At 38.4% G+C, this 13019-nt stretch overlaps 1 protein-coding gene across 1 annotated transcript; it reads left to right on the forward strand.

Moving 5' to 3' along the window:
• Window positions 1-3318: 3318 nt before the first annotated feature.
• On the forward strand, window positions 3319-7677 carry OR10H3 (olfactory receptor family 10 subfamily H member 3). The gene is made up of 2 exons (NM_013938.2): window positions 3319-3385; window positions 6716-7677. The coding sequence occupies exon 2, from the start codon at window positions 6727-6729 to the stop codon at window positions 7675-7677; it is 951 nt and encodes a 316-aa protein (NP_039226.1). The 5' UTR covers window positions 3319-3385; window positions 6716-6726.
• Window positions 7678-13019: the final 5342 nt, after the last annotated feature.

The raw sequence follows: 13019 nt of genomic DNA on the forward strand, positions 1-13019 counted from the left end.
TATCACCTGTGTTACACTCGATGAACCAATATTGATGCATTGTTATTAACTAAATTTCATAGTTTGTATTAGGTTATGCTCTTTGCATTGTGTATATGGATTTTGACAAATGACATGGGTTCATTATTACTATATCATTCAGAATAGTTTTATGTACATATATTCTTAATGTGTCCACAAGAGTTCATTCTGTTTTTTTGTTTTTTTCACTCAATATTATTTTAAAAGTTCATTTATATTACTATGTGTGCATCTAACTCGTGACAAAAGCTCTATATCCTTTTGCCTCTATATCCGTTGTTTGCCTCTATATACTTTTACCTGCCTTCTCCCCAGTTAGGGACAAGCAGGCTTATCCATCACCCCCACTAAAATAACTGCTGCAGGAAACATTCTTTTACATGTCCCCCTATAAACAGGTTTCAGAAGTCAAGATAGATATACAGTAGCAAATTTGCTGGTACACAGAGCATGAATCCCATTAAAAATTTTAATTTCCAACATTCTACATGCCCACTAATAGTATGTAAGTATTTCCCCTTCCCCTTCCCCTCCTTCTCCTTCTCCTTCTGCTTCTTCTTCTTCCTCTTCCTCTTCCTCTGATGGAGTCTTACTCTGTGGCCCAGGCTGGAGTGCAGTGGCGGCATCTCAGCTCACTGAAACTTCCACCTCCAGGGGTTCAAGTGATTGTTATGCCTTAGCTTCCCAAGTAGCTGGGATTACAGATGTGTACCTCCAGCCTGGCTGATTTCTGTCTTTTTGGTAGAGACAGGGTTTTGCCATGTTGGCATAGCTGGTTTTAAACTCCTGGCCTCATGTGATCCTCCTCCCTCGGCCTCCCAAAGTGCTGGGGTTATAGGCGTGAGCCTCCGCGCCCAGCCTATAGTGCGTAAATATTTCTTTCTCCTCATAGCCCAACCAATACTGGACATTTTATAATTTTGGGAATTGCATAGGTATACAGTGAAATTCCACTCTCTCTTTCATTTTCCCCTTCCCTCCATTCTTTTCCTTTTTGTTTTCTTTTTCTTTTTTCTTTTTTTTCGAGCATCCTTTCATCTGCCTGAGTAATTCCTGTGCATTATCTTCTCACATCTTTTGCTCGTTTTTGCATTAAGATACCTACTTCTTCTTGATATAACTGGTTCCTTGTTTGTTCTAGATATAACTCTCTTGTCAGTTTTTAAGAAATTCCCCACACCACTGGATGTGCTCCTGTCGGTTTTAGACAATGCAAATAATTTTTCCCCATTTCCCATCTGCCTGTTAACTTCATCCTGGAAATCCTTTGTTGAATGGAAATCCTCAATGTTGATTTTTTTAATGTTTTAAAAATCATCTTAATGATTGTGCTTTGGAAATTTTGTTTAGGAAGTCTTTCCTCAAGCCTAGATCACAAAGTTATTCTCCTATACTTTCTTCTCTTAAATTTACACCTTGATATTTGGTATTTATTTCTTGAATGCATCTGGATCCTCCTTTGTATGTAGAGTTTGGCAGAAATTCGGATTGACTTGCTTCATAAAATGAGCAGTTTTCTCACTACAATGGGTGAACAACCTACCTTCTCCTCTTGATTTGTGCCAGTACATTTATCGTGTACTATATTAGGTTTTGAATAATGCAGGGTTATTTTCTGAGATTTCCAATCGACTTACCCAGACCTAGGTCTGTTCCACGTTTCATAATTTTAAAAATGACTATGACTCTATTGTGTGTCTCAGCGCGTGGGAGGGAACAGCTCTTCCCTTGATTCCATATTTATTTATTTATTTATTTATTTATTTTAGACAGAGTCTCACTCTGTCACCCAGGCAGCACACTGCAACCTCCGCCTCCCAGGTTCAAGCAATTCTTGTGCCTCAGCCTCCCAAGTGGCTGGGATTACAAGTGGGCCATCACACCTGGCTAATTTTTGTATATTTAGTAGAGACGGGCTTTCGCCATGTTGCTCCGGCTGGTCTTGAATTCCTGACCTCAAGTGTTCTGCCCAGCTCGGCCTCCCAAAGTTCTGAAATTACAGGTGTGAGCCACCGTGCCTGGCCTGATATTTATTTTTCTGAAGGAATTTTCAAATAGTTTTATCAAATTTACAGTTGATTCACTGGAATTGTAAATATAATACAATATTATATTATTGAGTATTATTAAGTATTGAGGTTATAATTTGAGGATGAATTGACACCATTAGCACATCAGGCCATCCCAGCCAAGACTCTATACTGCTCCCCATGTGTTCAGATCATCTTCTACATTTTTATTAGTATGTATTTAAAATTTTTTCTTTGGAGCTATGTCATGTTTTTGGTTAATTCCTAGATATTTTATAGCAGATTTTTTCAAAGTGTGACATGAGGACCTCTGCAGAGTGGTCCCTGAAATCCTTATTTTTCAAATTTACATGTGAGAATATATTTTCATCATATGCTTCAATATATTGCCACAGACTGAATGAAGAGGCAGATGAAACCATCAAGCTGTTTCCTGCCAAGCTAGGACATATGAGGTATTGGCTAAAATGTCAAACAAGGCCACTCTTCTCATGAAATGCTTTTTTCCTAATGTGATTATTTGCCTGAAAATGTTTCCCATATTAGCATTCAATAGACTTACTATTGCTCTTTAGAAATTTTTTTTTGAGACGAAGTCTCACTCTGTTGCCCAGGCTGGAGTGCGGTGGCATGATCTCGGCTCACTGCAATCTCCGCCTCCCGGGTTCAAGTGATTCTCTGGCTCAGCCTCCCAAGTGGATGGGATTACAGGCGCGTGCCCCCATGCCCAGCTAATTTTTGTATTTTTTGTAGAGACCTGGTTTCACCATGTTGGCCAGGCTGGTCTCAAACTCCTGACCTCAAGTGATCCACAAACTTCGGCCTCCCAAGGTGCTGGGATTACAGGCGTGAGCCACCGTGCCTGGGCATGCTTTTTTAAATATACTAATAACTAAATATTTTTAATAATTTTCAATTTTCATTTCCAATATGGTAAAAATGGATAGTTCTAAACCACATAAACAAAAGCCCTTTAGAGTGCTTAGTAACTTTGAGGTGTAAAGGGATCCTGAGCGATGTTTCTTTATATTAATAGTTTGTGTTGCTATTGGGACTGTTCTCTTTCTCTGTATTCAGATTATACTTCTTGAATGCTTGTTACTGGTGTGATACTAGGAGGATCACTGGGGTTTTTGCCAGCTGACCTTGCCTTCTGCATCACTGGGCTCTGTTGCTGTTCTAATACATGATGTCATCATTCTTTCATCTTTTCTAGGTAGATGATCACGTCTCTTCCCTTCCAGTCCTTAGATACCTTAGATAACTTGTTTCTTTCCCTTACCTTATACCATCACTCACGAATTTCAGCTCCATGTTAAAGAACAGCGGAATTAGTGAGTATCCTTGGCTTTTTCTTGACTCTAAAGTGATGCATGGAAAAGTTTCTTCTTCAGTGTTGTATTTGCTAATTTGTGCTATATATTCTATATCTAGTTAAGAAAGTCTCCTTGGATTTTGTGTTGTGAAGTGTTTTTTTTTAAATCATAATAGGAGTAGGGTTTTAGAGAATGTATTTATGCCTTGATTGAAATAATCATGATTTTTCTTTTTAAATCGATTCCTGTGATAAATTGTATGATAGGTTTTCTGATGTTAACCAATCTTGTCATTTATGGAATAAACCAATGCCACTTGATCATGGTAAACTATTTTTAATACACCATTAGATTTGAATAGGTTATGTTTTATTCTGGAATTTTAAATCTGCCTGGATAGGTGAAGTAGGCCTATAATTGTCTCTTTTTCTCGGTGAAGATTCTTGCCTGATTTTAGACAAAGATTGCATTAACTTGAGGAGATGTGTTTGTCAGATTTCCTAACTCTTTTCTATTTTTTTGAAGATCATGTGTAAGATTCTAACCAACTGTTTTTTTTTTTAACAGTTTAATAGTACTTACCGCACTTTAATAAAACCCACTGGGGCAAAGATTTTAGAGAGACGATCTTTGACTACCGTTTCAATTTCTTTAAAGCTTATTTGAGCATATAGCATCCCCTTTTTTCTTGCACCAGTTTTGGAATTTTATATTTTTCTAAGTACTTGTTCATTTCATCTACAATGTAAATTTGTTATTTCTTTTACTATTTTTATTAATTTAAAAATATCAATTATCTCTGTAATTATTTCCCATTTGTAATTTTGGGTTCTGTTATTGGTACCTTCTCCTTGTTTATCTTATTAATTTTTTCCAATAACTTGATTTTGATTTTATTATGCATGATTTTTTTCTTGAGGCAGTTTTTTGATAAAGGTATTTTGAGCTGTATATTTCCTTCAAAGTACTATTTTAGGTTAAAATGTTGACATTCAATATTTAAATTATCATTTAATTCTAAATATTCCTCCATTTTATGATTTACTGTTGAAACTGTAGATTATTTAATTATATAGTTATCTTCCAAACACATGAGATTTGTAAAGCTATTTCTTCCCTATTGATTTTTAATGTTAATTCATTATAATCTATATCATATTATTATGCTTTGGAATTAAATAAATTTTTATATTCTAATGAAATGTCCATTTTTGTAAAAGTCGCTGAGTGGTTGAAAGAGTGTTAATTTTCTTTTTGGTGAAGAGTCTAATATATATAATAGCTAATGTCTGGATATTATTAATTGCTTTGTAATTAATAATTAATAAATTGCATTTCTGAACTCTGTTAAAATTTCTAACTATAATAATCTATCTGCCAGGTGTGGTGGCTCACACCTGTAATCCCAGCACTTTGGGAGGCTGAGGTGGGCGGATCACCTGAGGTCAGAAGTTTGAGACCAGCCTGGCCAACATGGTGAAACCCTGCCTCTACTAAAAATACAAAAATTAGCCAGGCGTGGTGGCACGCGCCTGTAATCCCAGCTATTAGGGAGGCTGAGGCAGGAGAATCAGTTGAACCTGGGAAGGGGAGGTTGCAGTGAGCCGAGATTGAACCATTGCACTCCAGCCTGGGTGACAGAGCAAGACTCCGTCTCAAAAAAAAAATAATCAATCTGCCGTCGATTTGGCTATTTCTATCTATCTCACTGAAGTTGTATTGATTATTTGTTAATGAATATTCCAGGATATATAGTTACATGGATTTATAGTATTGATGCTGTTTGCTATGTTCTTTTAATGGGTATAAATGTTATTCTCTGTCCCTTAGTGTGTGTGCATGTGTGTGTGTGTGAGATGTAAAAATCTTGGTATGCATTGAAAAACTAAACATTTACCTTCATAGTCAAAATAACCAGATAACACTTACAAAAATAATTAGCTGAGCATGGTGGCTCATGTGTATAATCCCACCACTTTGGGAGGCTGAGACAGGAAGATTGCTTGAGGCCAGGAATTAGAGACCAGTTTGGGCAACAAAGCAAAGCCCTGTCTCTACAAAAAAAAAAAAAAAATGTTTAATTAGACAGGTGAGGTGGCACACATCTGTAGTCCAGCTATTTAGGAGACTGAGAAGAAGCATAACTTGAGCCCAGGAGTTCCAGGATGCAGTGAGTCATGATCCTACTACTGCACTGTAACCTAGGGGGCAGAGTGAGACCTTGTCTCTAAAAAATTCACAATTAGATCAATAATAATGCTTTAATATTACTCATACGTAATCATTCATTCATACTGTAATCAAAATGTTCTCTATTGCCTTAAAATACTTACAGCTGGTTATGTAGATCAAGATTCAACTAGTCCCCTATGTTGCATCCAGTTACTATGTCCTGGAATCTCTCTTATCCTTTCAATATACCTCTATCAGTGAAACCAGACCAATTGTTCTGTGGAATTATCCACCTTCTGGATTTTTCTGAAAGCTTTCTCATTATATAATTTAGCTTGTTCCTCCATCTTCTGTACAATGATTATTGTTTTTGACTAGTGGGCATCTTTTCAATCTGGTACCTGCAGGCTTTTAATATTATCCCATTACTTAGTGAAAATTTCATTTTACACTGGTAGAAGATGTCCAAGGCTTTCTTCCATGTCCAGACCACAGATCAGCCATGTGTTAAGGAACTCTACTTCCCTGTAGAGGTGTATTGTATTAGAGACCTTGCGATCATTGTTTCCTTAAATTCCACTTTTTTATTAAGGTTGCAGCCTCAGCTTTCATTTGGTGCATATTCTTCAGACATATATTTACCCATCCTTTTATTTTTGAATTTTCTATTCAGATTTATTAGAATAGTAAATGTGTAATTTGAAATAAGATGGCATAAATGAGTATCAATAAATGAGTATTAAAATAAATGTAAACGGGTTAAATAAGCAATTAAAAGACAAAGACTCTTGGGGAACAAAAATTTAAGGCTCAAGATCAAAATAAATGTTTTCTAGAACTGGCACATTTTCAGGGGAATCTGACCCTGATCATCCATGCCTGTCTCTAATGGCTCCAAGTATTGAAACTTTTCTTTATGTTAGTCAGTGTTAATGGAAACCCAATTAGTAGCCAACATCTGACTTGGTCATCTAATATATTGATCTCGTTTGATCTTTGTCACATTGCTGAATGTTAAGAACTATTATTATTTACTCCATTTAACAGATGAGGAAAGTGAGACCCAGAAAGTTCCACCAGTTGTTGAATAGCATAGAGCTGTTGGGTTTCCATTTGGTCTGTGCTAGAGTCTAAGTTTTAACCACTGTCACTTAATTTTGTTTCTGATCTCACCAGATACAGTATCCATGCCTGGTCAGAACTACAGAACCATATCTGAATTTATCCTCTCTGGCTTCTCAGCCTTCCCCCAGCAGCTCCTGCCTGTCTTGTTCCTGCTGTACCTCCTGATGTTCCTGTTCACATTGCTTGGCAACCTTCTTATCATGGCCACAGTTTGGATTGAACGCAGACTCCACACACCCATGTACCTCTTCTTGTGTGCCCTCTCCATCTCTGAGATTCTGTTCACTGTTGCCATCACCCCTCGCATGCTGGCTGATCTGCTCTTCACCCATCGTTCCATCACCTTTGTGGCTTGTGCCATTCAGATGTTCTTCTCCTTCATGTTTGGCTTCACTCACTCCTTCCTTCTCATGGTCATGGGCTATGATCACTACGTGACCATCTGCCACCCACTGCATTACAACATGCTAATGAGTCCCCGTGGCTGTGCCCATCTTGTGGCCTGGACCTGGGCTGGTGGCTCGGTCATGGGGATGATGGTGACAATGATGGTTTTTCACCTCACTTTCTGTGGGTCTAATGTGATCCACCATTTTCTCTGTCATGTGCTTTCCCTCTTGAAGTTGGCCTGTGGGAGCAAGACATCATCTGTCATCATGGGTGTGATGCTGGTGTGTGTCACAGCCCTGATAGGCTGTTTGTTCCTCATCATCCTCTCCTTTGTCTTCATTGTGGCTGCCATCTTGAGGATTCCTTCTGCTGAGGGCCGGCACAAGACTTTCTCCACTTGTGTATCCCACCTCACTGTGGTGGTCATGCACTATAGTTTTGCCTCCCTTATCTACCTCAAACCCAAGGGCCTCCATTCTATGTACAGTGATGCCTTGATGGCCACCACCTATACTGTCTTCACCCCCTTCCTCAGCCCAATCATTTTCAGTCTAAGGAACAAGGAGCTGAAGAATGCCATAAATAAAAACTTTTGCAGAAGGTTCTGCCCTCTAAGCTCCTAATGGCCAGTTTGGTGGTGATAAAATATAATAGAAGGGCTGGGGATAATAATGTGTATCTCCATAGGACTGTTGTAAGGGTTCAGGTATGTGAAAATACCTGAAAATATGTGTTTTGTACCTACTAGCTATTGTTTTCCCCTTCCTTTTTGCTTAGGCTCATGTGATCATTTATGAGCCATTGTAACGAACTTTATCCCATTATCTGTGCCTAGAAATGTGTTTTCTATCTGTGGATAGGTGGAGATCATCACGTGGATGTGTCTGGGCATTTATGCACATGGTTCTTCTTAAACAGACAGGCAAAAAAGATTTTATTTTCCCCTAGTGTAAGAAAAAGCAAGAATAACATCATAGTCATAAATGCCACCAAGCATTGAAGTTTTTCTATGTATCCTGTACTGTGTCCAGTGTTTTACAAATATTATCCTTTTAATTAGAAGAAATGAACAAAGGAAAATAAACTATTTGTCTCAGAGAAACTGGTTTCTGTTTTTGTTTTGATGGAGTCTTGCTCTGTCACCAGGCTGGAGTGCAATGGCACAATCTTGGCTCACTGCAACCTCCCCATCCCGGGTTCAAGTGATTCTCCTGCCTCAGCCTCGCGAGTAGCTGGGACCACAGGCGCGTGCCACCAGGCCCAGCTAATTTTTGTATTTTTAGTAGAGATGGGTTTTCACCATGTTGGCCAGGATGGCCTGGATCTCTTGACCTCTTTATCTGCTGGCCTTGGTCTCCCAGAGTGCTGGGATTACAGGCATGAACCATTGCACCCAGCCACTGAAACTGGTTTCTTATTTAAAGTTCCTCACTGTCTTTGGGAGACATATACCCTAAGTGTGTGTGTGGATATTATGTCGAATTGAGTGAAGGATATCAGAATGCAAAAGTGGAGAGAGAGCAAGAAGGAGAGAGAGAGAGAGAGATACAGAGATAGGAGAAAGAGAGAGAGAGAAAGAGAGAGAGAGAAAGCAGGTGTCAAGTAGTCAAGTAAAAATAGAGTTCTTTACATTTTTTGATCTGTACAAGAAATGTAATAACTAAGAATTTGGGGCAAAATCTGGGAAAGGGAAAAAGAGAGAAAAAAAGGAGGTTGGTAAAATAGGGCTTTAATATGTCCTAATAATAGGGCTGTAATATGTCCTAATAAGACAGGCACGTGTCTCATCCAAGCGTTTTTGACACAGTTGCTCTGCAGTCTCAATGGGTCATTCTAGGATATGTACTCCCTTGTCTCCAATGGATGCATCAGTTTTCTGGTTTTCTGGTTCTGGTCATTGGTTTCACCAGCTGAGGAATGAATATTATTTTCACAGTGCGGCTACTCTTCTAATGCTACTCAGAGAGTCCTCACCTGTGCTTCCTGCTGGTGCTGGAATGTGAAGGTCAACATTGAAAGAGATTTCATTCTAGAAAAGCAGAGATCATGGCCTTAAAAGGTCAAAAGGTGATATGGTTGGAAGAGGTTTTATTGTATGTTTATGCTATAAAATTCCAAACAAAGCAAGCTTTTCTTGGCATTATCCTGCATACTCTGGGCAAGACTTGCATATGTGGTTATCATCAGTGAAGCACCATAGCAACCAGTGAGAGAGCCTCTGGGAATATGGTCACAGATGATAAAGCGACATGAGTGATGATGGAAAGGGCATTAAGTAAACACTATGCACGTGCTACAGAGGTGGAACTTTCTATACAAATAAATCAGAAATTTTTCCAAGAGCCAAGGTATTGTGAGTATTAACCACTTTGCTACCTCTTTCTTCCGCTTTCTTTTGAATAGTTTTAGTATGGTATATATTTCTCCATTCATTTACTTTTTAATTTATATATGTCTTTATATTTACAGTGATTTTCTTGTTAGAAAACACTTTATCCGCAGTTTGGGAGGCCGAGGCAGAAGATCACGAGGTCAGGAGATTGAGACCATCCTGGCTAACATGGTGAAACCCCGTCTCTACTAAAAACACACACAAAAATGAGCTGGGCGTGGTGGCGGGCACCTGTAGTCCCAGCTACTAGGGAGGCTGAGGCAGGAGAATGGCATGAACCCGGGAGGTGGAGCTTGCAGTGAGCCGAGATTGCGCCACTGCACTCCAGCCTGGGCAACAGAGCGAGACTCTGTCTAAAAAAAAAAAAAAAAAGAAAAAAAAGAAAACACTTTATCCAGGTCTTATTTTTTAATCCTTTCTAATGATCTCTGTATTTTAATTCATGCATTAAAAATACTGATGTTCAAAGTAATTTATGATACACTGATATTAATATAAACCAAATTTGTTACGGTTTTTTGTTTGTTGCTTTTGTTCTTTATTTCTATTTTTGTCTTTCATTCTTTTTATGCCTTTGGTGCTTTTAAGTAAGCATTTTATATACTTCCATGTTCTCTTATTTCTTGGCATATCAATTCTACTTTAAAAATATTTTTAGTAGTTTTCTTAGAGTTTTGAAATATACATTTATAACTAATCCAAATCCATTTCAAATAACATTATATGATTTCACAGGTAGTGCAAGTATCTTCTAATAATAACACAATTCTGATGTCTTCTTTCTATCCCGTTTATTATTGTTGTCACTATATCATATATTCATAAAAATGTATATAACATATGTATAACATACACATGTGCACAGATGGTAAAATGCTTTGTTTATCTTATTATTTTAAACTGTAATCTGTTAGATCAATTAAGAATAAGAAAAATGAATGCTTTTATTTATCTCCATTTATTCCTTCCCTGATGCTCTTCCTTTCTTTAGGTAGACACAGATTTCTGACCTATATAATTTTCATTCTCTTTGAAGAACCTCCTTAAACAATTCTTGCAAAGCAAGTCTACTGATAACAAATGCTTTTAACTTTTATCTGAGTCAGTCTTTATTTCTCCTCCACTTTTGAAGGATACTTTCATAGGGTGCAGAATTCTAGGTTGGTGAATTTTTTTCTCTCAACACTTTAAATATTTCACTTCATTCTCCTCTTTCTTGTATGGGCTGAAGAGAAATTGGATGTAATTTTAATCTTTACTCCTCTATAGGTAAGGCTCTCCCTTCAGCTTTTATAAGGATTTTTTTCTTTATATATATATTTTTAAAATTTTTAAGTTCCAGGATGCATGTTCCGGGTGTGCAGTTTGTAACATAGGTCAACGTGTGTCATGGTGATTTTCCGCACCTATCAACGCAGCACCTAGGTATTAAGCCCAGCGTGCATTAACTATTTTTCCTAACGCTCCCTCACTCCCCAGCCCACCCCGTGACAGACCCCAGTGTGTATTTTTCTCCTGCCTTGTCCGTGTGTTCTCATTGTATATTTGATTTTCTGTAGTTTGAAAATAATATGCCTACGTGTACTTTTTCTGGCATTTATCATACTCGGAGTGGTCTGAGCTTCTAGGATCTGAGATTTAATTTCTGATATCAATTTGGAGAAATTCTCGGTAATTATTGTTTCAATTTTTTCATTTGTCTTTCTTCTCTTGCTGGTATTTCCATGACACCTATGTTAACATTTTGTAGTTGTCCCAGTTGGATATTCTCTTCTGCTTGTTTCCCTCCACTCTTTTTTCTCTTTGCTTTTCAATTTTGCAGGATCCTATGATATATCCTCAAGCTCAGAGATTCTTCCCTCAGCCATGTCCAGTCTACTAGTAAGCCCATGAAAAGTATTCTTCGTTTCATCTTCCTCCTACCCCTCTCCCTCCCCTCCCCTTCCTCCTCCACGTCCTCCTCTCTTTCTTCTCCTTCTCCCTTTCTTCTCCTCCTCCTCCTTTTCTTCTGATTATTTTTTAAAATAGGGACAGAGTCTCACTCTATCACCCAGCCTGGACTACAGTGGTGCAATCACAGCTCACTGCAGCCTTGAATTTCTGGGCTCGAGCGATCCACTGGCCTTAGCCTCCCAAGTTGTTGGGATTGCAGGTGTGCACCACCGCATCTGAACAATTTTTTTTTTTTTGGTACAGATGGGGTCCTGATATTTTGACCCAGTTGGTCTCAAACTCCTGGACTTAAGCAATCCTCCCACCTCAATCTCCCCAGGCACTGAGATGACAGGTGTGGGCCACCAGTCCATTCCTTATTTCTGTTACAATCGATTTGACTTTTAGCATTTCTTTTGTCTCTTTCCTAGAATTATCATCTCAGCTGACATTGCTTATCTGTGTTTCCTTGCTGTCTATTTTGTCTACTAGAACCCTTGGCACATTAATCATAGTTGTTTTAAATTCCCAGTCTGATTATTTTGACATGCCCACCTTATCTGGGTCTGTTTGTGATGCCTTCTCTCTCTCTTCAAACAGTCTTTTAGTATGCCTTGTAATTTTTTTCTTGATACCCAGACATGAAGTACTTGGGTAAAAGAACTGTTTTAAATAAGCCTTTAGCAATATGGCAGTAAGGTATGGGGAGGGGAATCATTCTATAGACCTATGCTTAGATATCAGCCCCCATCAGCAGATGTGCTAATCAGGATCCCCTGACACCACCTCCCTTAGGTGGAACAGGATGACTAGAGCTGGCAAGAGTTGGGTATTTTCTTTTTCCAGTGAAACTGTAATAAAACTCCAGTAGGTTAGGTTCTGGTTCAATTGTTTCTCCTCATTTGGAGTCTTTCATTGTTCTCTCCTGCCTGATTGCTCTGGCTAGGTCTTCTAGTACTATGTTCAATAGCAGTGGTGAGAGTGGGCATCCTTGTGTGGTTCCACTTCTTAAAGGGAATGCTTCTAGCTTTTGCCCATTCAGTATGATGTTGGCTGTGGGTTTGTCGTAGATGGTTACTATTTTGAAGTATGTTCCTTCAATGCCAAATTTGTTGAGGGTTTATGACATGAAGGGATGTTGAATTTTATTGAAAGCCCGTTCTGTGCCTATTGAGATGTGGTTTTTGTTTTAAATTCTGTTTATCAACTCATCATCTAGGTTTTAAGCCCCACATGCATTAGGTATTTGTCCTTATGCTCTCCCTCACCCTTTCCCCCACCCACCAACAGGCCCTGGTGTGTGATGTTCCCCTCCCTGTGTCAAGCCACCATGGCACATGTATACCTATGTAACAAATGTGCACGTTCAGCACATGTATCCCAGAACTTAAAGTAAGAAAAAAAGTTCTCATCTTTCTTTTCTTATATAAAAGATAGATACAATGATACTGGTGAGAATTAAATAAATTTATACATGTAAAACACCTCACCTAGAACATAACACCCAAACACAGGCTACATAAATTAATGTTTGTCCATAAAAAATGCATAAAAAATTCCGTTTATGTGCTGAATCACATGTACTGATTTGCATATGTTGAAAAGAATGAAGTCATGTCCTTTGCAGCAACATGGAGGCAG

The sequence above is a fragment of the Homo sapiens genome, chromosome 19, assembly GCF_000001405.40.
Source record: "Homo sapiens chromosome 19, GRCh38.p14 Primary Assembly".
Lineage (NCBI taxonomy): Eukaryota > Metazoa > Chordata > Mammalia > Primates > Hominidae > Homo > Homo sapiens.

Bases quoted from the DNA above. Each gene is read 5' to 3' on its own strand.
- OR10H3 (NM_013938.2), top strand. From the start codon at position 6,727: ATGCCTGGTCAGAACTACAGAACCATATCTGAATTTATCCTCTCTGGC.